At 42.6% G+C, this 24787-nt stretch overlaps 4 annotated features.

The window, feature by feature from the left end:
- Positions 12406–13605: an enhancer, noted in NCBI's record as "P300/CBP strongly-dependent group 1 enhancer chr1:209576956-209578155 (GRCh37/hg19 assembly coordinates)". NCBI's record gives its function as "activates an origin of replication core promoter dependent on BRD2, BRD4, P300/CBP, MED14 and CDK7 cofactors, with strong dependence on P300/CBP, by STARR-seq in HCT116 cells {active_cell/tissue: HCT116}" and the evidence as "EXISTENCE:reporter gene assay evidence [ECO:0000049][PMID:35650434]".
- Positions 12921–13507: an enhancer, noted in NCBI's record as "H3K27ac hESC enhancer chr1:209577054-209577640 (GRCh37/hg19 assembly coordinates)". NCBI's record gives its function as "activates a minimal SCP1, AML or CMV promoter by ChIP-STARR-seq in naive H9 embryonic stem cells {active_cell/tissue: H9 hESC(naive)}" and the evidence as "EXISTENCE:reporter gene assay evidence [ECO:0000049][PMID:30033119]".
- Positions 16999–17879: an enhancer, noted in NCBI's record as "H3K27ac-H3K4me1 hESC enhancer chr1:209572682-209573562 (GRCh37/hg19 assembly coordinates)". NCBI's record gives its function as "activates a minimal SCP1, AML or CMV promoter by ChIP-STARR-seq in naive H9 embryonic stem cells {active_cell/tissue: H9 hESC(naive)}" and the evidence as "EXISTENCE:reporter gene assay evidence [ECO:0000049][PMID:30033119]".
- Positions 19643–20525: an enhancer, noted in NCBI's record as "NANOG-H3K27ac hESC enhancer chr1:209570036-209570918 (GRCh37/hg19 assembly coordinates)". NCBI's record gives its function as "activates a minimal SCP1, AML or CMV promoter by ChIP-STARR-seq in naive H9 embryonic stem cells {active_cell/tissue: H9 hESC(naive)}" and the evidence as "EXISTENCE:reporter gene assay evidence [ECO:0000049][PMID:30033119]".

The following is a 24787-nucleotide window of genomic DNA, read 5'->3' as shown; positions in this document are numbered from 1 at the left end:
TCCAACAAAGCATTCATCCTCTCTGAATCTCTGAGGTTGGTGTCTTTCCTGGGGCTGATCTTATTCTATTCTCTGGGTATATTCAAGTTTTTGGATGAAGAAGCTTTAGCCAGAGCCAGAAAATGAATGGATATTAATTTTTTGACATGTAATCTTGACCTTGGCTCACGACCACCATGAAGTGGAGCTCAGTGCTGCTCCTGTTGCTAATATCCTAGCAGGATTCTTGGAGTTGCCTGATAGTTCAGGAAATTAGAAGGGCCCTGTGGAAATGCAGAGACAGTTTGGAATTGGGCTGGGCTTGATTGGATCAGTCATGGTTCTGCAAGGAGGAGTCTGATCCCCAGCCAGTCATGCTCTCACTTGACTCCTGAAGATTGAATTCACGTTGCACCCTCTAGATGCTAATGACAGCACACTGGTTCCTCTGACCATGTGGACAGCCATCCCTGGCTTATTTCTTTCCTTCTGTCTTGCTCTACCCATCCTCTATGCTGCTGTGTGGCCTTCTTCATGTTTTCTTCCCCAGATGTCTCAGTCAAAGGTGGTCTTTTTTTTTTGCTATGACCTGTGTCTGTTACATTTGAAGCCCTCAGTTTAGCTTTTAATTATATGCTGTTTTGCAGTGTCCACTAATTGTTTCACATATATTAGTAACCTTTTCACAGTCTATCCAGATTGTAGAGTCCTTGGGTCAGGGGACCATGTCTTCTGTTTTCCTTAAATTGCTCTTGGCCCAATCTTGCTGGCCTCACAATCAGACTGCCTGATCTTTCATGGTCACAGGCTTTGTACTAGATATCCCCTTCACTGGGATTTTCCCCTGCCTCCACACACTTCCCCCAGCTCCTGCTTTGCTCCTGCTGGTGACAAATCCTCCTGTACAGCTGGGGCCCTGCAGCTGCCCCAGCATGCCGGCTGCAAATCAGCTTGAAGTAAACTGTCTGGAAGTACCCTGATGAGTCAATTGGGCCCCTCCTTGGAGACAAGGAATTCTGAGGTCTTGCAAGCACACACCTGCCCTCTGTGGAATAATTCCACAGCTGGCCCCAGTCCTGCCTCTGGGAACGTGTCTTACTTTTGCCTTGCTTCAGTAAGCTTATTCCCTCCTCCACTGGCTGCCCTGACTTGTCAGGTGGGGATGGCAGGGCAGTTGTGAAGAGCCAGCCCTCAGTAGGGAGAGGCAGGGCATCCACCTGCTGAGGACTGAGGTGTTGCTGGATTCTGGTGGGTTTACTTTGGTAAGCTTAAGGGAAAGAGGAGAAACCACGGAATTATGACATTTGAAATTTTCCCCCACAGAGAGCAAGAGTAGAGTGGGGAAAAGAGCCCAGGATTCTGATTTGGCTTGGCCACCAATTGGCTGTGTCACCTCATGTGACTCACCTGCCTTCTCTTATTCTTAAGCTCCTCTTCTGTAAAATGAGGCTGTTATATTAAAGTGGTAGCTTTCAAACTTATAAAAATAAAGGAACCCATTTATCAAATGAAATTTTATAAGGAATTCCATTTTCTAGAAAGAGAAAACAGCAATTCTGCTTAAAGTAAAGGTACAGGGGGACCCTTGGTTTCCTCCTTGTCTTTCAAGTGATCTCCTGAAATACCTTATCAGAACTTCCCAGGAAAACACAGTGTGAAAGGCACTGAGAAAGATGATCTCTATGGTCTCTCTAGCTTTGACAGTCTCCATCTTCTTGCTACTCAAAGTGTGGTCCTCAGCCAGCAGCAAGCATTTGGGAGCTTGTTAGGGATGCATCATATCAGACCCTACCTAAGACCCACTGAATCAGAATCAGCCTTTTCACAAGATCCCCAGGCAATTCATCCAAGTTTGAGAAGTACTGGTCTGTACAGTTCTGTGATCCAGAGAGCTAAGTGACAAGAAGACCACGGGAGCATCGTGACTTTCATCGTAGAATGTGGGCATGGTCAGTTGGTGTAGGAAGTGTGGACCACATCTCTTTCTTGCCTCGGTGCACTAGTTGTATCCCTGATGGGGAACCAGTCATGGTAAACAGGTTGGATTGTTCTTGGGCTTAGCCAGAGAGGGAAAAAGAGGGGAAATCACCTGACCCTGCAGAATGCATGTTAGTAAATGCTGGTGACACAGCATGTGACAGGGGGATTTGTGTTTCCAGCAGGAAAATGCTCACTACAGGTGCCTTATTAGCATGACTCTTCTAGGCATTTGTGCTTCCTAACGTATGTCTCCTCCCTCATCTCGCCGGATCCCTATTCTCTCTTCAGCACCTGGGATATGACAGCTGGCTTGGACTTAAAGACCTATATTTTGGTCCTAGCTCTGGAGGTTTCTAACATTGCTCTCTTGGGTTTCTCCACCTCTGCGGGCCTCAGTTTTTCTATGTGTAACACAGCATGGTAAACCCCACAGTGTGGTGGTGAGGAGGAACTGAAATATATGGAAGCTCTTTGTAAACTGTAAAGTGATAAAAACTCAAGGATACTTTTATATCAATTCTAATCTGTAAAAATACCCAGAGTTTAGCTTCAGCTGGGCTTACTAACAGTGCTAACCCCAAGATCTCAAATGCCCCTGTGAGGCTAACAGCTGGTTTCTTGTGTTAGCCTAAGCTTGTCCCCGGGGTCTGGATTCCTTCAAGGTTGGTGGCCCAGTTGGTGGTTCTTAAAGATCCCTCATCAGAACTTGATTATTGTAGGAAATTGGAAGGAAAGGGGAAAAGAAAAGAAGAATAGTTTTGCTGCTGTTTTGTCTCTGTACTTAGAAAATGCTAGCACACCCTTCCTAGTTTGACTTTTCTATTTGGCCAGAAGTTGGAATGAAATGGGTCTTGAGTCAACTGTGAAGATGAGCTTGCTATTTTTCTCTTTCATTAGTTAATGTTCTAAGTGGCCATTTCTGGGAAAACTCTTTCTGGTAATCTAAAAGTGTGTTTGTGCTGTGGGTGGAGATGTTTTGGGAAAATGTGTACATTTCTGATGCTTTTCTCTTGATAGAAGAATTTGAGTGTCATTGAAGAATAAGACCTTTAGGGTTCTGATTTCTCATTTCTTCTGTCCTTTTTGAAAACCTGAAATATTCCTCAGCCAAGAACAAATAAATTTTAGCCCCAAAATGTGGGCTTGATTTGCCATCTAAATGTCTGGGATTGAAGTAGGTTCATGTACTTGACAGGCAGCCTCAGCCCCACCCTGTTTGGTTGCACACTGTAACACCCCACCCGTTTTCCTTCTCTTTGCTCAGCCCAGCCCCTGCTATTTTATTCTACCTCCCTTGTTAATAACCTTTTTAAAGAAAGTACCTGCAGAGGATCTATGCCCTTGGAAAAAAATGTTCCCTTGAGGAACTCAGTGCTGGACTCAGGGAGAAGCACTTTGCTTATGGTGATGCTGCCACATGGACTCTCCATGTGGACTGAGACAGATCTAAAAAGCGTTAGGAAGGCCGGGCGCAGTGGCTCATGCCTGTAATCCCAGCACTTTGGGAGGCTGAGGCGGGGGGATCACTTCAGGTCAGGAGTTTGAGACCAGCCTGGCCAACATGGTGAAACCCCGTCTCTACTAAAAACACAAAAATTAGCCAGGCATGGTAGCTGCTGCCTGTAATCCTGGCTACTTGGGAGGCTGAGGCTGGAGAATCGCTTGAACCTGGAAGGCAGAGGTTGCAGTGAGCTGAGATCATGCCATTGCACTCCAGCCTGGGCAACAAGAGCGGAACTCTGTCTCAAAAAAAAAAAAAAAGAAAAAAAAAGTGTTAGGAAGGTATGAATGCTGTTGGAGTAGAACAGGTCAACTTCCCTTGAAAAATAATTTTTAGAAGCATTGAATCTGCTGCTAAATTTCACCCTGTGAAATCATCCTGGGAAAGGTTTGGCAATGCGATTCAGGTGAGTCTAGGGAGCTTTTCTTTTTAAGCCTTCTTTACCATGTGCTGGGCAAAGGTCCCTCTTTGAAAGGTCATGCCATCGTTGGCCAGGCCTGGCAGGGTGGAAAGGGTGGCTCTGTGCAACTGGATCTGCACAGGGCTCCGTCTGCCTGCTACTGGAAGATACTGGCTCTCTGGGCCAAGCAAAGCTGCCTTTAGTAAATTAATGAGATTTTCCCACTAATTCAGCATCTTTCTTAGGAATCCATACTAGTGATCAATTCCAAGTACTGTGGGATTTTCATTTGCATCTTGTTCTCCCTTTAGGGGCAGAAAAGATACACATAACTTTGCCAACCCTTCCTTCCTTTCCCATTAGCAAACTGCCTGAATTCAGTTCTTCCCAAATTCATATCTTTAGCTCAGATCCTTGTCCTAAGCACAAGATCCATTTCTCCAGCTTCCTTGTCCACATCTCCACTTGGATATTTCAAGTGGAGTTCAACCTCAACCTGCCTAAAATGGAATTCATTATATTTTCTCCCAAACTTGCTGTCTCACACCCTCCTGTGTTCATTTCCTCTGCAAATGACATCATCTTTTACTCAGTGGATCAAACCAGAAATTTAGGAGTCAACCTTGATTTTTCTCTTCCTCCTTACCCTCCATATTGCTATTTGTCACCCAAATTTGTCAGTTCTACCACGTTAACATTGCCTTGAATCTAACCATTTCTGCCCATTCCCATTACTGCTACCTTGGTGTAAACCATGGATATCAATCACCTGGATTAGAATCAAAGACTTTTACTGGTTTCCCTTCTCTTCCTCCAAGTTTCAAGTATAAAAAGTGACACAATAGATGCTGAATAAATGTTTGCTAAATTAAGAAATGAAGAAAGGAAGGAAAGAAGAATGAAGCTGTTAGCAACTCTATTGCCTCCTGAAAGGGTCAGAAAAGACAGAGGAGAGAGATGAGAAACTCTTCAGATATTCAGACTTCTGGAGGAGATGTTTCACAACATCCTTTTGTTGCAGGATGCACTGCCAGTAACTTCATTATCTAACCTGGATCCCAGCAGCTACAGTAGGAACCTGTATTTGTTGGCTCTGTCCTGAAGGAAGAGTAGCTAGTCCCATTTCTTCTGTAAATGGCAAAAGAAGCTATGAAAATTACACAGCCTTTGTCCAAAGCCTGGTCCCAATCCAGACTGAAGACCTGGATCCATTTGCTGGGAAGCAGCTGCCCCAGGGCTGGCTTTCTATGCCAGATAATTAGCAGAAAAACAAAAATGAATTTGAGGTTTGGGCTGAACTTCCAATTGCTTCAAGTAGTTACATAGATTTCAGTTTCTCACATACTCTGCTCCTTCACTTTCTTTTGGTGTAGCCCCCAAATCCTTTGCCGTTTTTTTTTTCTTTTTTTCCAAAGGCCAGTGAGAAAGGAAATAAATAGCAATAAGAGAGGCCACGCATCTTAAAGCCCCACCCATTGCAGTTTGAATTCCTTCCCTTTTTGTCTCCTCACCAGGGCATGACATAACATGTTTTGCTGATGCTAGATCCTAGAACTGTTGGAAAGGGAAAAGAAGCCTGACAGAACTCATTGTTGTAAAATTATTCCTTCCCCATTTCTCACTCTCCTACCAAGAAAAAAAAATAAAGAGGCATCTTCAGTTTCACAACCCTTTTCTGTCTGTCTGGACTTGCTCAGAAAGCCTTGAGAGAGGCCAGATATTTTTGGTGGGAAGTAGGGGGTGGCCTTCCGCTCTGCTAAGAAAACATTTTCTGAGCATGTTGTCTGTAAAGAACCCTGTATTGCATTTGAGTAGTCATGCCCATTTCTGCTGAGGGGAAGCAAGCTGGTCGTCATTCTGGCTCTCCTTGGGTGGTGGTAGTGTCGGTGGTGCCAGTGGCAGTTGTAGGGGTGATGGAAGGGGCTGGTGTGTGTGCTACTAGAGTGGGGACAGGGAGATATTGCAAAGAGGAAGGATAAAAAATAAGCCTCCTTGGAAAGCACAATGTTGATGGACTAAATTATTTGCTCTGAGAGAAGGCAAATACACAGTTCTGCGCAGAAAGATAATTCTCTTGGATTTGGGGAAATTCTTTTGATCTGCAGAAGAATTTCAAGTTACAGTAGAGAATAAGAAACTGGTTAGCCTTTCACTTTTTTAAAACAAAGGAAAAATACATAGCTTTAGCAGCTTGCTTTTCTTTATTGTGATGCTGTAATAAGAATTTGTCAACATTTTAAAATTCATCTAGGCTCTTCATTCAGTTGACTTAAATGATTAATTGTGTACCAGTTTTTCTTAATGTCTAGATTTGTAATTAGTTACTCCTGCTAATTTTGAAAAATTGGATTAAAATGTTGCATGTCTGCTGTAATTGAACAGACCACCTCTATTTCATCTAGAAAATGACTTCCAATAATGTAATACATTATTGACTAAAACTTAACATAAAGTTATTAATGATTGAAAACTTCAAAGCATCTGTCTGCAAACAAGGATAGATCCAGAAATTCAGAGCTGAAGGGGACATTAGAGATCATACCAGTGGGTCTCAGCCAGGGACATTTGGATATGTATATGGTTGTTTGGGATTTTCACAGTGACAGTGACCAAGGGACACAATTGCATTTAATGTCCCAAAATCATGGATGCTAAGCAATCTACGGAATGTGATATAGTTCCACATAGCAGAGAACTTCCCTTTCAAAGTGGCAGTATTGCCTCAGTTAGGAAGATTGAATTCAGTTCTTCATTTGAGATATGAGGATACTGAGCCCTGATATTCCCTGGGTCAATAAAGTGGCAACGAGTGGGGCTGATGTCCATGTCTATCTGTTTCAGGGAAGAGGTCCTGATGCAGACCCCAAAATAGGGTTCTTGGATCTTGTGCAAGAAAGAATTCAGAGCCAGTCCATAGAGTAAAGTGAAAGCAAGTTTATTAGGACAGTAAAGGAATAAAAGAATGGCTACTCCATAGACAGAGCAGTCCCAAGGGCTGCTGGTTGCCCGTTTTTATGGTTATTTCTTGATTATATGCTAAACAAGGGGTGGATTATTCATGCCTCCCTCTTTTAGACCATATAGGGTAACTTCCTGATGTTGCCATGGCATTTGTAAATTGTCATGGCGCTGGTGGGAGTGTAGCAGTGAGGACAACAGAGGTCACACTCATGGCCATCTTAGTTTTGGTGGATTTTAGCTGGCTTCTTTACTGCAACCTGTTTTATCAGCAAGGTCTTTATGACCTGTATCTTGTGTGGACCTCCTGTCTCATCCTATGACTCAGAATGCCTTAACCATCTAGGAATGCAGCCCAGTAGGTCTCAGCCTTATTTTATCCAGCTCTTATTCAAGATGGAGTTGCTCTGGTTCACATACCTCTGACATACCTTTGATGTGATTCAGTTTCTTGGGTTTCCTTAAGCCAATGTTAACAGTAGTTGCACAACTAGAGTAAACAGAACTTCTCCATTATATAGTGGAAGAAGCAACAAAAACCTGGTGTCAGTTTTGGTGCCGGGGTATCTGTCATCTCCTTCGTTTCTACTGTGGATCACAAATCTTCTCTCAACCAAAAAAATGACTTAAATATACAAGAAAAACAATGAAAATGATCAAGAATGGATGGGCCAACTCTTTGAGGAAATTGTCAAGTTAACAAATAAATGAGAGAAGATGAAAGCCCAGTGGAAGTTGAAGTTCAATCTCTTTCAAGAATAGGGAAGCCAGGCGTGGTGGCTTACTCCTGTAATCCCAGCACTTTGGGAGGTGAGGCGGGCAAATCACCTGAGGTCAGGAGTTCAAGACCAGCCTGGCCAACATGATGAAACCCTGTCTCTACTAAAAATACAAAAATTAGCCAGGGGTTGTGGCACATGCCTGTAATCCCAGCTACTTGGGAGGCTGAAGCAGGAGAATTGCTTGAGCCCAGGAGGCGGAGGTTGCAGGGAGCCGAGATTGGGCGACTGCACGCCAGCCTGGGTGACAGAGTGAGACTCCGTCTCAAAAAAAAAGAAGAAGAAGAATAGGGAAGTCAAATTAGAGAGGTTAGAATCTATAAGTTAAGGGTGGGTGGAGAGATATTATTATGTAGTCATTTTGAATCAGATCACAGTCTTCATGTCCAGGTGGCTGGATCTCATATAATAAAGACATTTTTAGATGAAATCTCAAAACTCTTGTTTTCCACATCACAAAGATGAAAAATTTCCCAGAATACTAGAAATAGAAAAATATTCTTCTAATTTTCAAAAAGAGGGAAAAAGGAGTTTTGGAAGCCACCTCTAACAAAACTTGGCCTTGGATCTGATAGAATTCTTCAACAGTATATTAAACTCATGCTTTATGCATGCTTAGAAAAGAATGAGGTGATCTCTAGCAACCAGTACGGATACTGCTACCATAAACTGACCCATTATGAACTGACTACACTGGCAAATCTGTGAAGGTCCATAAACCTAGAATATCTCTATTTCCATAACATGTTTGACATGGTGTTCTATGATATCCTAGTGGATAAGACTACGATAGCTGAATTAGGCACTGTTGAAGTTAAGTGCATTTCCAGTTGGTTGAATTTAGGTATTTAAAGAGTGTTGATAATCTGGAAGGAGAGGCTGGTAAGGTTTACTTTTGCTATAACTATGTGATCTTTAATATATAAATCAATAATTTGAAGGAACACAGTAACAAATAGATTTCCAATTTTTTGTATGACATAGAGTGATGGAGAAAACATTAAAAGTAATCTCTATACACTAGAAGTCTGGATCAGATTCAAGAAGATGAGACTTAACACATATAAATGTTAATCTACTGCACCAATGCTCAAAAAAATCAACTGTGCAATGACAGAATAGGGAAAGCTAGTTTTGCAGATGCTAATATTGAAAAGGCAAGGGCTTTTTACGTAAAGGACTCTTTATTGGACCATAACCAAAAGATGAAACAATAGTGACATGTGGTTTTCCTAAAAGCAAATATGATCTAAGATGTGTCCAGAGAATCATGTTAGGTTGGTGAAGGGCTTGGAAAATATGTTACATGAGGAATGATTGAACGACTAAAAGAACTTGTCGTATCTGGGCTATAAAAGAGATGACTAAAATGTCAAGGTTGTCTTCCAATATTTGAGGTTTCCTGTAAGGAAAATGGAGAGGGTTTGCCTTGCAAGAAGTTAAGGTAGTAGAATGAAGACCAACCGGCAGAAGTTACAAGGAGGCAAATTTTAATTGAGTATAAGGAAAAACTAACTAGCAGTCAAGAAGAAATGGGCTTACATGCCTATTTATAGCAGCATTATTCACAATAGCCAAAAGGTCATAGCAACCCAACCATCCATCCACAAATGAGTGGATGAGCAAAATGTGTTACATACATGCAATGAAATATTATTAGGCCTTCAAAAGGAAGGAAATTCTGACACATACTACAATGCAGATGAACCTTGAAAATATTGTGCTAAGTAAAATAAGCCAGTCACAAAAGGACAAGTATCATAATGATTCCACTTACATGCGTGCTAGAGTAGTCAAATTCATAGAGACAGAAAGGAGAATGGTGGTTGCCAGGGACTTGGGGAGAGGACAATGGGAAGCTGTTATTTAATGGGTATAGAGTTTCAGGTTGGGAAGATGAAAAGCTCTAGAGATGGATGGTAGCACAGTAATGTGAACGAACTTACTGCCACTGAACTGTACACTTAAAAATGGCTAAAATGGTAAATTTTATATATATTTTACCACAGTTGAAAAACAAATTGGGGGCTCCATTGCCTATGGAATAAACCAAACAAAGAAGAAGGAATGGGCTTATGTGCGAGGTATTGAGTTTCCTGTAACTGTAAGTATCAAAATCGGGACTGGACAGTCTCAGGGTGACATGCTCTAGGGAACATTTCAGGGTGAGAAGCAATCCCAATGATTTCAGAACGTCTGTAACTCCACATGAAAACAGAGGCTTACTCTGTGCCTCAGATTGAGTAAGGCTGCATACTTTCTTGATATGTATTAACATATGCAAGAGTATATTCATATATAATATATCATACATGCAAAAGACCATGTTATATAACAAATATGCATTTTACTATGTACAATTTAATAAATATTTTAAAAATGGATCTCCTTCTAGTCCCCATACAGGTTTAATACTGAGAATTTGCCAGTATCTTAGAAGTCCCCAACCCTTTCAGATGCCCTTAACCCATCACTTCCATTCCCTCCTCTTGGAGATGACCACTCTTCAGACTTTTGTGATGATCTGTTTTTTTTTTTTTTTTTTTTTTTTTTACAAAATAGCTTTACTACCTATTATGCATCTCTAAACAGCATAGTATAGTTTTGTCTGTTTTCAATGTCATGTATATCATATGGTATGTTTTCATTTGTGACTTTCTTCTGTAGCTTATTATGCTTATAAGATTCATCCATGTTGATACATGCATGCAGCTGTAATTAATTTATTTTCAATAGATCATTTGTCAAAAGTTTGTAATAGATGCTGCTGCTAGGAACATTCATATGCGTGACTTCTGGTGCTCATGCATAAGGTTGGGAATTCTGGATTGTATGATATACACATCTCTGAATTTCTGAGATAATGCCAAACTATTTTCCTAATGATTCTATCAATTTTCATTGCCTCCAGCAGTGTAGGAGAGTTCTTATTGCTCTGCCTGTTGTCAGATTCGGACTGCACTCTTCACCTAAGAATTAGAGAAAGTGGTGAGGTTGGTAGCCTGGCTCAAATACCTCATGATAAAGTGGGAAAATGGACTTGAGCTGCACACCAAGAAAAATTTAGGTTCCAAATCAATGTAGGTGCTTCTATTGAGTTAAGTGGCTTGTCAGAGACAGGCTTCCAATTATATCCTAAGCACGTGAAGGGCGTGAAGTGCCACATGTCCTTTGGTGAACTGCCCCCAACCCCACTTTTTCCCTCAGCCTTAGGTTTATAGTGCCTGCTCACCAAACACTGACTACATTGTGTCATCAGTGCGGTGGTTTTGTGAACATTTCAAACATAAAAAAAAAAAAATGAAAGTGAGACATCATTTCCTGAATTATGTTAATTTGGTGAGCCTTAGTGAGTGGAATTAAAATGAACATCCCTTGAGAGGATGTTATGGACCACACAGAGCTCTGGGCTCTGGAGTTGAAAATCTTAACTGGAATTCCAGCCAGGCTACTTTTCAGCTATTTCACTGTAAGCAAGTTGTTTGATCTGCCTAACTTTACTTGTCTCGCTTGTAAAACGGGTAGAGTAATGGGACCTACTATGAGTGTGCTTGCTGGGGAGAGGGAATTTTGAAGGTAAGATAATTCATGTAAAGTGCTAAGCTCAGTCCTTGGTGTTTAGTGTTCAAAAAATATTTGACATATTATTAGAATCTCTGTCCCTGAAGAAACACTTTTACAATGGCTTCCAGGATAACATAAGCATGGATTTGCCTAAGGAGACGGGGCAGGAGTTGATCTCTTCAGAATTTTGTTCCCGTCATCATTCCCTTCCACACACATGCCTTTGGTAATTTTCAGCAGCAAACATTTAGAATAAGCTCTGGTTTTACCCTTCATCAAACCAGAAGTGACAGGGAAAACAGACATTTTTTTCAGAAAAGAAATTAATCTCCTAAACAGGGTGATTCCACCCTTTTCTTTAAATACTTCTAAACTCAGGAGGGGGGAGGAGAGCACACATTATCCATCAGAATGAGGCATCAGCTAGCACCGCCGAGTTTCATTTACTTTAAGATTGCCCTCTGAGCTGTAGGGTTTTTTTTCTTCTTTCCCAGAGCACAGTTAGAAGGGATATTTTTCTTTAAATGGCCCCATTTCATTTGCATTTTTAAGCTTTCACTGCAGAGAGTAGAAGCAGTTGTAAATGGTTCCAAGAAGGTAGCTGTGGCTGCTAGCCTGAAGCTTCTGAAATTGAGTGTCAGCTTCCCTCAGAGTAGAAAGATATTACTTCATATTTGTGCATGCGGTTTGCCGCTCTGCTCTTGGTTTGATGGTCTCATTTAGCCACAGGCATTCTCCAGCAATGATTCGTCCTCCCCAATAAATTAAATATCACCTTTCTCCCCTCTCCCACTACCACTCCACCCTCTTTTTTTTAAATAAGACATTGTCTTGTTTATACTGAAGTGAGACAAGGTAAGAAAGTATGAGTTTCCCAATTCCTTTTATTGCTCCTTTTTGACAAGAGGAGAACAGCAAAAAGGCAAAAGAGGAAGAAAATCTACAATTGGAAATCTGAAAGGAAAGTTGTATCCTGATCACAGACCTCTTTGAGTTTGTTTAAGATTGTATAGCAAGCTATTGAGAGGGGAAGGGTATAGAGAGCCTATGGGATGTTTCACTATGTTGTAGAATGAGGGGACCCACTGATCAGCATTATCGCCCTGTTCATTCTTGAGTTCACACCCTTTACCCCAATAATCCCCTACTTAGGGGCTCAGGTCTGCAGTGAAAACCACAGGTGCACCATGTCCACAGGGTCTTGACATCTCCCAAAGGACTGCAGGAGGAGCCTGGGCTGATTCCAGGGAGGCGTGGGCAGGAAGCTGTTTGTAAGATGAACAAAGAGAGTCTTTGACGAATGGGTCATTATTGTCAGAAGGTGGAAGTCAGGGTGCCTTGATTGATAGTGTTCCTGAACAAAACAAGCTGAAACTTTTATATGCTTTCAGAAATTTGGTTTTAGTATATAGGCAGCCTTCACCCTACTGATGAGCTGTGTGCTGGAGTTTACAAGTTGGGTTTTTAGAATCTGGAACACAATTTACTTCAAATTAGCCCTTTAATATGGTGATCAGCTTTTTCAGCCTATACACAACAGTCCATTTAATACATACTAGTTTGTTGGAAATGTATTGCTAAGAGTTTTAGATTGATGGAGTTGGAATCTATGTGGTGAGGGAGGAGAAGGTAGAGAGTTTCTACTCCTTTCTCCTGCACCTTGAGCCAAATTAGGGGGAAATTTTGAAATAGACATAGCATGTTTTTGGCATCTTCCCTTTCTGCTCCTCTCTCCCCTTGTTGTCAGCGAATTGTGTGGCCCGCAAGGTGACTAAATTCATTGTTGTAAGAATGCTATAAAAAGGGCTCTTGCTTGGGATAACCAGTGTCGAATCTGACTGAGATTCCTCCTATTGATCTTCTGTGACTCACGGACAGAGCAGAGGAAGAGGATTTGAAATTTAGCCTGACTCACTTCCCGGTGACCTGGTATTAAGGTGATTCTTAGGTATGCCTGAGCTGTCCTGGAAAGGTCTCTGTGCCAAGGCAATTTGGGTGCCCAGGGTCCAGGTCAGTGACTCCAACCCAACCACCAGGTTGCTCCCAAGAGTAATTAGCTTGACATTTTTGAGACTTCTCATTAGACGCTTACACCTGAAATGTTTCCCCAGGTGATTTCCGATCCTGTGCCATCACCCTGTGCTTCCCCTTGCCTGGCCCAGCTCCTACCAACAGTTTTATGTCTGTCCTCTGGAATGTCCATGGTGAATAAACTCATTCGTAGCCTCAGACTCTTCCTTGACCACTTCACTCCCTCTGCCTTTTCATCTGCACCTGCCTCTCCCTCGAGTGTTCTGTGTTCTCTGTAGCCTTCTCAAGGGGAGACTGCTAATTCTGCTGCATCTCAGCATCAGCCGCTGGCGTTGGCACCATCCCTGCTCCCCATCTTCACTCCCCAAATGATTCAAGTGAAAGTCTTGGCCGCTTTTAGGCTCAAGCTCACTGGCATTGCCAGTGCTCTCCAAAGTGTCTCCAGTGTACTGTGACAAGGGCAGGTCTGCCTCTTAAATGAGTGACACAAGCCCTAGGGGGTTCAGTGGTGAGCTGGAGACCCCATGATGCTCAAAAAGGGCACAGTTGCTCCGCAGTTCACAGTTGAAGGAGATAAACCCTGTGTTCCCAGATCTTTTTTTTTTTTTTTTTTTTTTTTGAGACGGATTCTCACTCTGTCGCCCAGGCTGGAATGCAATGGCGTGATCTCGGCTCACTGCAACCTCCACCTCCCAGGTTCAAGCGATTCTCCTGCCTCAGCCTCCCGAGTAGCTGGGATTACAGGCATGCGCCACCATACCTGCCTAATTTTTTGCATTTTTAGTAGAGACAGAGTTTCTCCATGTTGGTCAGGCTGGTCTCGAACTCCCAACCTTAGGTGATCCTCCCGCCTTGGCCTCCCAAAGTGCTGGGATTACAGGCCTGAGCCACTGTGCCCGGCCTTTTCCCAGATCTTTATAGTTTCTAAGAGAAGGCTTTCAAGGAATCTAGATTTTTATATGAACTTTCCTGATTTTTTTTAAAAATGGTAGATAGTAAACCATCATCAAAAAAAAAAATAAGAAAAAACACCATGACAGCCAAATGAAACCTGGCTATTGGGTCTGAGTTGGCCCACAGGCCTCTGATTAGTGATTTCCACTCTGCATTTCCTCTTCCTCATCTAACACTCTCTTAGTCATTCTCCCCATTCACTAATGACACCAGCATGTGTTACACAGTCTTTTCTTCCATCTGAACCCTGCTTTCATCCTGGGCTTCTTCTGGGCTCATGAAGATGCCCAGCAACACTCGACCCCCCCATTCCTGCATCTTCTCTTCTCAACACGTCCACCCCACCTGGACCTCATCATCCCCTAGGTCACCTCCCACACCACAACCTTCTATCTTTCTACTTCTTGTACTCAATCATTGACATTATTTCTATTTCAAAACTAGGGACTCCCAGACCACTGATCTCTCTCTCTCTCTCTCTCTCTCTCTCTCTTTTCAGTCATACCTTCTCATACCATACCCTCTCAGCTTCATTTTACTTCAACCTCTGTCTTGCTAATATTGTTGCCCTATTGGCTTTCTTTCATACTTGGATGGCAAAACCTCAACCCTGGAGCTAACAAACTATTAGCCTTCTCTGCCAGTGTTGCTGCATGTCATAGAGAAACCCACACGATCTGTAGACTCATTGTACTACTGTCTCCCATTTCCCAGACCCCACTGCTCCCTGCCACTCTCCTGTGATCATTCTAGGCTTCCTTAGTCACCGCTCTCTCTAGTTCTCTAGACTAGATTTTCAGTGCCTTCTTCACTCTCCTCCACTCCTCAAATATTTGGCCTTCACAAGTTAAGCATTTGACATTGCTTCCTACTTCACAGAAAGTGTAGAACCCAGAGATGGAAACATCCCACCCCTTAACTCAGTGCCATCAAACCTACAACTTACCTACATCTGCCACCATGCCTCTTTTCTTCACTTCTGATTTTATGGAAGAGGAGCCTCTCTCTGTCTGAGCTTATCCCTTTTTTTGTCCTCTGGAGTTTTTCTCTCCTACCTCCTTAGCAGCCTGGCTTGATCACTTTTCCCTTTCTCTTCCCTGTCCCTTCACCCTGTCCCTCTCTCTTTTCCCCTCTCTCTATCAGGACCTAAACATGTTTAAGCCTTCCGTCTTGTATATTCAATTCCTTGCTGGCCCCATGGCACTTTTCAGCCACCGCTTTCTCTTTAAAAAGGCATCTGTATCTGTCGCTCAGCTTCTTTACTTCCCATTCTGTATTCTACCCACTGCAAGCTGGCTTCTGCCCTTATTGTTCTGCTGAAACTGCTCTCAGCAAGGTTGTAGATGACTACTTTATTGCTGAATCCAATGGCAACTTTTAAGTCATTATCTTCCTTGACCTCTCTGCAGCGGCTGACACTGTTGGTCCTTTCCTGCATACTGAAAAACTCTTTTCCTGGGCTTCCATCACCACGTGCAGCAGCTGGATTTCCCCACCTCTTCAGACTCCTTCATGGGCTTCTCTTTCTTTGCTCACTTTTAAATACTAATGTTGGTTCGGTCCTACTGGTCTTATTTGTCCATGCTCAGGTCTTATTCATGTGCACGCCTGAGGTTATCTCAGTATTCTGTAACTTGTGTGGGGAGATTGAGATAGACCAGGAGGGGTAGGATGCAGATTTTATGATGGGGAACAGCAGAAATGAGATTGGCCAGGCATAGTGGTACCAGATGATGAAGAGACTGAGGAGTCAGCAAGGGAGAGTTTAATTTGCTGAAAGTGACAACAGGGGGACAAGCCTTGGGTCTAGGTTGTTAGTATCTAAGATGCTGAAGCCTTCCCTCCTTTTGTATAATGAAGCATTTGTCTGGCCTTTGTCCTGCGTTCCTGGGATGGAACTTCTAAACAAACCCTCTAACTTTCCCAGGTGATAAGACTGTCTGTTATTCATAGTGAGCCCTTGGGACCATGCCTGGGTTTATGTTAGTGAGGTGACTCACAGTGAGCCCCTACATAATTTCAGGATGGGGGCTGGTCATGCTTGAAAGGCCAATCGTGTGATTAGAGAGTTGGTGCTTTGAGCCATGTGATATTGGTCCAACCTCCGGGAGGGATTGGAAGATGGAGATTAACCACTTGGCCAATGATTCAATCAGTGATACCTACATCATGAAACCCCAGTGAAAACGCTGGACACCAAAGTGCAAATGACCTTTCTGATTGGTGAACACATCAATGTGATGGGAGGGTGAACCAACCTGAGTCCATGGGGGGGAAGGCATGGAAACTCCACATTCTGAACCCTCCCAGACCTTGCCCTGGGTATTTTTTTCACTTGACTGGCTCTGATTTGTACCTTTTATGGTAAAACTTTTATCCTAAGCGTAGCACTTGACTGAGTTCTGTGAGTCATTCTAGTGAATTATTGAATTTGAGGGGGCTGTGGAAACCCCCAAATTTGCAGCCAGAAGTGTAGGTGGTCTGAAGACCCTTGAACTTGTGGCTGGTGACTGAAGTGAGGCAGTCTTTTGGAGGCTGTGCCTTTCATCTGTGAAGTCTGCACTGACTCTGGGTGATTAGTGTCAGAATCACATTGCAGTACTGTGCCTCCCCAGGGGAAAGCATGTGGACTCAGTCAGGGAGCAAGTGCCGTAGATGAGACCTGGTTATAGAATGTAGAAAACCGAGAGTCACAGGAGATTGGAGACATAGCTGATTGTATTACTTAGAAATAGTTTTTCTAGGTTTTTGGGTAGCATGGCAGCAAGGAGTTTTTCTTTGTTTGTTTGTTTAAGGCAGAAATAGTGCTCAACTTTATGTCTGGTCATACTTTCCTTTCACAGTTTTTGTGCTTCTGGGTTCTTGATTTTGTCCCTTGAAAATTCTAGAATACTACATATATATATGTATATATATATATATGAATGCAGGAAATCCCTATATTTCCAGGCTAAAAAATATGACTTTTTCTTTTGTCCCTTAGAAAAGGCAGAGAGCAGCCCTTGGGGATAATAATGACGCCATTTCTGCTGTGGTTGCTTGTAGTTAAAATTGTGTCAGCCATTTTGACCCCTGATGAGATTTATGGTGGCTTAGATCTCTGTTGGAGAAATGAGTTTCAGGCAGCAGACAGGAGGGAAAAGGTCTCAGGCTTAGAGCATATTATTTTAGTGAAATGGGGAGAAAATTCACTTTTGCTTTTTTTTCTTCTTTTTTATTTTTTTAGCTGTAGAATCTGATTGTTCCCATTCTAGTATCTTTGTCTGCCCCTAATGTCACTGAGCTCCCTCACAGGGGACATTGGGTGGTTCCACATTTAACACTAGGAGCTCCCGTGAAGTGCTGACCTCCGACTGCATGACAGGTTTCTTGGCCAGCCCCTTCCAGACCCTTGCTTTGTTCCTCCTTCCAACCTTCTCAGATCAAAAGTATCTCTGTTTCACAGATGAGGAAACTGCAGCTTAGACAAACTGAGTCACATTGTCAGTGGCACCTGCTTAGAATGCCACAGTGATCGGAGCCGAGGCCTGCTCAACTCCCGACAGAGTGCCTCTTAGGGATGGGGTAAGCATTACATCTGGTGCTGGAGAAAAAAATGACAAAGACCCTGTTCTTATGCCTCCAAAAAGCTTACAGTGAGATCAGAGGGACTGACCTTTATCTTCTGATCAAGGTGCAAGTTTGGAGGAAGCGTCAGTAGAATGAAGACTCTAATTAAATACATGGCCTGTTGCTAAGTCAGGCTAAAAAGATCCCCAGAGTGGGTCCCCAGCAGCATCTTAGTTTAGAGACAGCTTGCCTCTATCTCTTGAACCTTTTGATCTTTGTATTGTAGCACCTAGCATGATGCTTTCCACATAGTGTGTATTCAATAAATCTTTCTAGAATAAGAGAGTGGATGCCTAAAACCTAGCTTTTGCATATTTGAATCCAAGCAAGCCATTTCTTGTCTCTGAGAGCAATAGTTACCCATGCGCAGAAGGGCAATTCTCAAGGAAATTTTGTTTTGGAAGGATTTGGCTCCCAAAATTTATTACTTAGTATTTAGCTCCGTTTTTACAAAATACCTAAGAGTTTTTCAAAGTCCAAATCGGCTGTTCATTTGTGTAACTAAGTGACACATCATTTTTTGTTTTAACCTCCTGAAAAACAGTAGTCAAGTAGGTGGGGCTTGCTTGAAAAAGGAATATGTGGACTCAGAGATTACATGCTTTTGTTATGTAAGAATTTGTAAGATTTACCAGGGTTTCTGGTAAATGCTGACACATGTTTGTTTGGCCCCAGGCTCTGTGAAAGCGCTAAGCTGCTTCCTGTCTGATGTTGCTGTCCTTTTTTGGCAAGGGAGCAAGACATAGTCAAGTCCTGCAGGGCTGGGGCAGGGCGGAGGCAGGTGAGTGCAGGGGAGGGTACCAGCACCCCACTCTCTTCACCCCATTTCCTTAGGTCATATCTGCACTTAGAAACTCTTTGAAAGCAAGTTGAAGTCTCTTGATTGCATGGTGAGTCAAAACTCTGAGGGTAGACCGTTGTGGGCATTCTCCTCTCTTTTCATTGCCACCCCCACACCCAAGATCACAGGACGGAGCTCAGATACAGGGTGCTGAATTATTGCCACTGAGTAACTGCAACATCTGCCACATGTGCCAGACACTCCATAGGGCAAGTTTGTCACTATAAACTTATTTAACCTCTGCTGGAACACTGTGAGGGAAGTATTGTTATCCCCAGGTTATAGACAGCAAAACTGAGACTCAGGGAAGTTGAGTGGCAATGTCCAGCTAGTAAGCATCTGGACTGCATAATCATCCCAGTCTCCTGACTTTCTGTTAGGGACTCATTCCACAACTGAGAATGTGATCTATTTGGGCTGGGGCAAAACAGCAGGACACTGACTGGAAGGGAAAAACAGCGGGACACTGACTGGGAGAGTGTCCCGCAAAACAGCAGGACACTCTCCTTGGAATGGACCCATGAGGCAGGAGGAGATGCATTGGTGCAAAGGTGTGAGGGTTTAGAGGTCTCTAGATAGGATGTGGAGGTGAGGAAAGGCCTGAGCTGACTCTGTGGTGCAAAGAGGTGGCAGCCAGGCCTGCTGGGTGCCGAGACTGCCTCATTCCATTCTGGGAGACTAAGTAGAGAAGCCTGGAGGCTTCTTCCCTTCCATTTGGAGTTTGGAGAAAACTCAGAGTAAACAGGCACATAAAACCCACCTGAACTTGTCATTATAAGCCCATAAAAGATTAAGAAACAGTTGAAGGATGGGGAAGAGAGAAATCAAGGGATTCTTGGTGTAGTCAGCTTGTTTACCACCGGCTCCTTATTTATTAGTGTCGTGTCTTCCATTTGTCAGGCTATAACGATAGTAGCTTTTATGAGTAAGCAATTTTTTAATGAACTTGTTTCAAATGCGTATTCCATTCTTGGAACTCTCTGTGCTCTGAAGCAGCTTTATAATTATTGCCTTCGGTGGAATAGCCAGGCTCTATCTGGCTTTTATGTAAGCAATTTCACTCGGTTTGCCTCTTCCTCTTTCAGCTTCAAATGAGTCAGATGAAGGGGTGGAAATATACAATAATAATAGCTTTTTAAAAGAGTGCTTATTATATGTTAGGCATTGTCCTAGATGTTATGCATTTATCTTTTTATTTTATCCTGACATTCCCCAGGACTGATGTATTTTACAGCCCCCATTTTACAGATGAGGAAACTGTGGCTCAGAGAAGTTGAATAGTGTCTAAAGTTCCTCAGTTAGTGAGTGGTGGGGACAGGATCTGAACACAGGTCTGTCTGGCCACACAGCCTGTACTCTGATACCTCTGCTGTATAGAGTGGACTGGAAGGGCTGTTCGTGCCAGTGTATTCCAGGTCAAACTGGGAGTGGGAAGAGGAGCTCAGGACACTCATTAGTGGTGTGAAGTCATTTGCCATGTTGGCCCATGCAAGAGATGCTGTAATTAAGTGCTGATGGCTCAGTAATTATAGATAATTTTCTGGTCTTTTGCTTTCATAAAGAGAAATAGGAAAGTTTAGAGAGCTCCCTAAACTTGTTGCTGCCCACAGTAATGCTACCTCCTGTCTCAGCCAGTGACTGTGCCATTTATCCAAAAGCTCAAAATTGTTTCATATGGTAAATTGGCCTCATCTTTGCGACATGGACTGTTACCATCCTATTCAAAACCCTGATTCCTTCCCAACTGGATTGAGGCTGCTTCTGAGTCCCTGCTTCCAGGACTGTCCCCTTTCTCTCCATCCTGCATGCTGTTCACAAGTACACAGGGCCAACATGCTCTTCTATCAGACCCATCTGCTACTGGAGCAATGCAGGCCACAGAGTGGCTGAGACCAGCTCTGGAGTCAGTTGCAAGCTCAGATTTCCACTTCTGTACTTGCTCACTGTATGACTTTGGGCCAGTTATGTAACCTCTTTGAGCCTCAGTTTCTTCATCAGTAAAATGGGAATAATAATTAGAAGAATGTCTATTAGATAGGGTTATTGTGAGGGTTAAATAAAATGGTGCATGTAAAAATGATTGGCTCAATAAATTCTAGCTATTGTTATTCTCTCAGCTCCTATCTGAACTCTTCAGTTAAGAATTGGGAGCCACTATCAACTGGCTCCTAGTACCTCGCCTAATTGTAACTGATATTCAGGGTGTACCAATAGTTAGGCTGTCTTGAGGACTCTGTCTCTTCATGCATTGCCATTTGCAATATCTTCTTATGGAGTAAGCGTGTAAATTAGCAAAGTTTGTTTTGGAGAAGGCTCCTCTATCTCCCATTCCTCATTTATTTTCCTTGGTGCACTGGCTCTCTTCTTGCACTGGTTGCCCTCCTGCTGACCCCTGGCCCCTCAAAGTTCCCCAAGGAACACCCAGGCACCCAGGCCCTTACCTCTTAATTAAGACAGAGCCAGGTCCTATACAGAGATGGGGATGTTTGCTTGGTTTTGACCCAGGAGTGGGTTTGTTTTTCTCTAATTAGTTGGAAAATCGAACTTGATCTGTGAAGAAGGCAGATTTACAACTTGAGTGGGTATATGACTGCCTGAGCTTTGTTGTAATAAAAGGTAAAATCACTCCTGTGGGGGATTGGGTGGGCATCGAGCTGGTTTCTAATGGCTGTTCTCATTTTCAGGTCCTGAGTGAAACCATCCAGAATGATCAAATAGTCCCTCCTAGTGAATAAGTTTGGGGAGCTGGAGAGGAAGATGATTGAAGTGTTTGCTTTTTCTTTCCTTTCACTGAGACATGATGATATTCCTCTATACACAGAAACTTGAACTATTTTGGCTAATTTTCAATGAAAGGTCACGTAGATGACATATCCTCAGGACAGATGGCTGCCAGTGTGGCCTCCACCCCACCCATGGGGAAAGATTATTTCTCTCCACCTTGTTTTCCAGCTTTCCTTTTGCTGCTGTTGATTTACTTTTGTTCTGTTTTGCTGCGCCATTCTCTCTGCTTCCCTTCTGCTCTCTGTGTCTTGCTACCTACTTATATATTTTCCTGTGTCTTTTCCTCACTCTTTCTTCCTCTCTTTCTCTTCCCTCCACATCCTCTTTGCCACTGCATCTCTTTCTTGCCTTATTTGCCTCCCTTCCCCTCGGGATCTTATTTTTGGCACTCCTCTACTTCCTTCTCTCCCTCTGATTCTGGTTCATAATAGCTTGAAAGAGCGTTTGATAACGTTTGCCTGACCCTGCCTGACACTGGGTGAGTGATTCTCCTCGGGCTGTGTTTGCTGTGGTCTGTGTGTGATTGATGAAAGCCGCTCAATTTGCTCTTCAAAGCTCTGTTTATGGAGAGCTTGGATGCATCTCCTCCGGATTTTACTTTTTTTTTTTTTTCCCTCCAGAAACAAGTCCGAATTATAGGATAAAACTGGAACACTTCCCATTTGTTCATCATCTTCACAGACCCCTTAAGGCTTTCAATAGAAGGACCAGATTGTACATGTCCACCTTTTAAAAAACTGTTCTTCTTCCTAGAGTCCTCATGTCAGAGATTTTAACCCACAAAAGAAGTTATTTGGGTGACCTTTAATTTGAATATGACCACTTTCAGCCCTAAAGAAGACATTTAGATTTGGACTCTGGGTACTAAAATGGAAGAAAAATGCTAATGCTATTAATACTAGAATCTGAGTACCTGTGGTATCCTGGCTACTCAGTACGAGTTCATCATGAAATGAAAGAAGTAAAATCAAAAGAATTGTCTGTATTTTCTGTTTCTGGAAAGAACAGTGGTTCAAGTTTTTCTTCCAGTATTAACTATACTGGATCCCACATGAGAAGATGAGACATATTTTTCACCTGGCTCAGGTTTCCTGTAGAGCTGTTCCTATTTTTCAACCCAAGAGAGGTCTTATGCACCTGCACTAGATGCTTTACACATTCAACTGCTTGAAAGAGGGACGGACTAAGTAACCTGCAGAAGTTCTTTCTAGTTCCTAGATTCTCTGATTCTGAGAATCTAATGCTTTAGGTATGATACAATGTATTGCAATGGAAGGATTACCGAGTTTCATGCTAGAATTCCTGAATTTAAATGCAGATTTGGGCAATTATGACTTAAATGATCTTCAGTAAAGTTTTACAAATAGTTTCAGGTTTTGTTCAATAGCTTTACTGAGGGATAATTTACATATCAAAAAATTCAGTCATTGTAAGGGTATAGTTCAATGATTTTTGGTAAATTTATAGTTGTGCAACTATCACCATAATCCAGTGTTATAACATTTTTCATAAAACTTTTGACCTATTTTTTCATCTTAAAATTAAACTTATGAGTGAATTGATTGCAAAAATGGCTGTAATTCTTAAACCTATTGTGGTATGAGTTGTTGCTCCTTGCATTGAGAGGTGGATTTGATTTCCCCAGCCCTTGAATCTGGGACTGGCCTTGTGACTTTCTTTAGCCAAAAAAGTGTGGTCCAAGTGACAGTGTGCCAGTTCTAAGCCTTGCATCAAAATGTCTTGCATGTTTCCATTTGCTCTTTCAAACCCTGCTCTCTTCACCATGAGTGTAAATATAGTCTGCTGGAAAATTAAAAAAAAAATCATGTGAGGAGAAGCCCCAATCATTCCAGCTGCTCTATGTTAGGCCATCTTAGATCAACTTCCCCCATCTGCCCTCCGGCTGACCGCAGATGCATGAACACCCCTCATGAAGATTGGCTGAGCCCAATGCAGATCAGCAGAATTGGCCAGCCAACATGTAGACCCACAAAAAAAAAAATAGAAGGTTATTGTTTTAATCTACTAAGCTTTTGGGTGGTTTATAAAATGTCATTATTGAGGCAATAAATAACTGATACAGGATGGCCATAGGGATCAACTTTTTTTAAAGCCATGAAAACATCTACCATTCTGCCTACGTTGCATAGTATGCCCTCACTACATTTAAAAAACATTAAATTTAATAAACATGTATAGAGGCCTTCATATATGAAAAGAACTTTGGAGTTGTGAGGGATGTGGAATTGAAACAGAAATGATATAAACCCTTGAGGAGTCAATTCCAGTGGGAAAAAAATAGATACTTACACAGAGAGCTATAATATAGGACAATCTGTCCATCTATTACAATATTTATGTTGAAGTGGTCCCTCCATTGTCTGCAAATAACCATGTTCTTCTTTTCTTGGTATTTCAGTTTGTTCCAAAATGTGTTCAAGGAATATGGTTTATTGAAAAACTCCCCAAACAGCACATTGACAGAAATTAAGTTTCATTGGTATGTCCAAGTACAGTGTTTGCATTTGTAGGAAATATTCTTTATGGCAGCTTGGCCATGTGAAATATGTTATGAGCCAGGGAAACAGAAAAGCAGACATGAATTTAGAGCCAGGGTTGGGAGGAGAATAAAAAGAGGAGAAAGAGAGGTGGGTGGGAAAGTCTTAATTTCTAAAATAAGCAGAAATTGTAATTTCAAGAATGCCTAAAGAATAGAACACTGCCTTAGCAGCTTGTTTGTGCTCAGCTCCAAAATATTCTAGAGGTTTAGGTGGCTGGGATTGGGCTGTGGAAGAGGAAGAAAGAGTGGGGGTTTTGGCAAACAGGACCTCAGGCAGCAGAAGTCTTGTGATTGGTTGATCTCAAGCATGTTCTCTGAATTCCTTCATCCTCTCCAGTAAGCAGCCCATCTGGGGAGTCTGAGAGCACAATACAGAGCCCTGGTTTGGAAGCCAGGGGCCCTATTTCTAGTCCTAGCTCTGACACTGAAGAACTATTGCTGTGTGACCATGGACAGGTCACTTTTCCTTTCTGAAGGCTGATCTAGGTGATTTCTAAGGGCTCTTCTGATTCAAATAGTCTGTAAGTTCAGGTCCGATTCACCCACCAAGTTAGAGGAGGCAATTAAAATCAGAGTGAACCAAAGTAGATAACAAGGCCTCTGACAACACAGGTGGACCTGTAAAAAATGGAGCTGTTCAGAAAACCAAGACACAGGTTAATGGGTAAGCCCCGCAGATGCGGACCCACCCTCCACTTCTCCACTGAATGTATGGAGTCTAACCATGCCTGTCCCAAGGACTCCAGAGGTCCTGGATGCTCCCTACCTGTGACCTGCCCACTGAGCCTATCGAGTGCATCCTCCCTCTCCTCCTAGAATGAGGATGTCAAAGGCTTTTCTTAAAATG

This window comes from Homo sapiens, chromosome 1, assembly GCF_000001405.40.
Source record: "Homo sapiens chromosome 1, GRCh38.p14 Primary Assembly".
NCBI lineage: Eukaryota > Metazoa > Chordata > Mammalia > Primates > Hominidae > Homo > Homo sapiens.
This window is presented reverse-complemented; position numbering and strand designations above follow the sequence as displayed.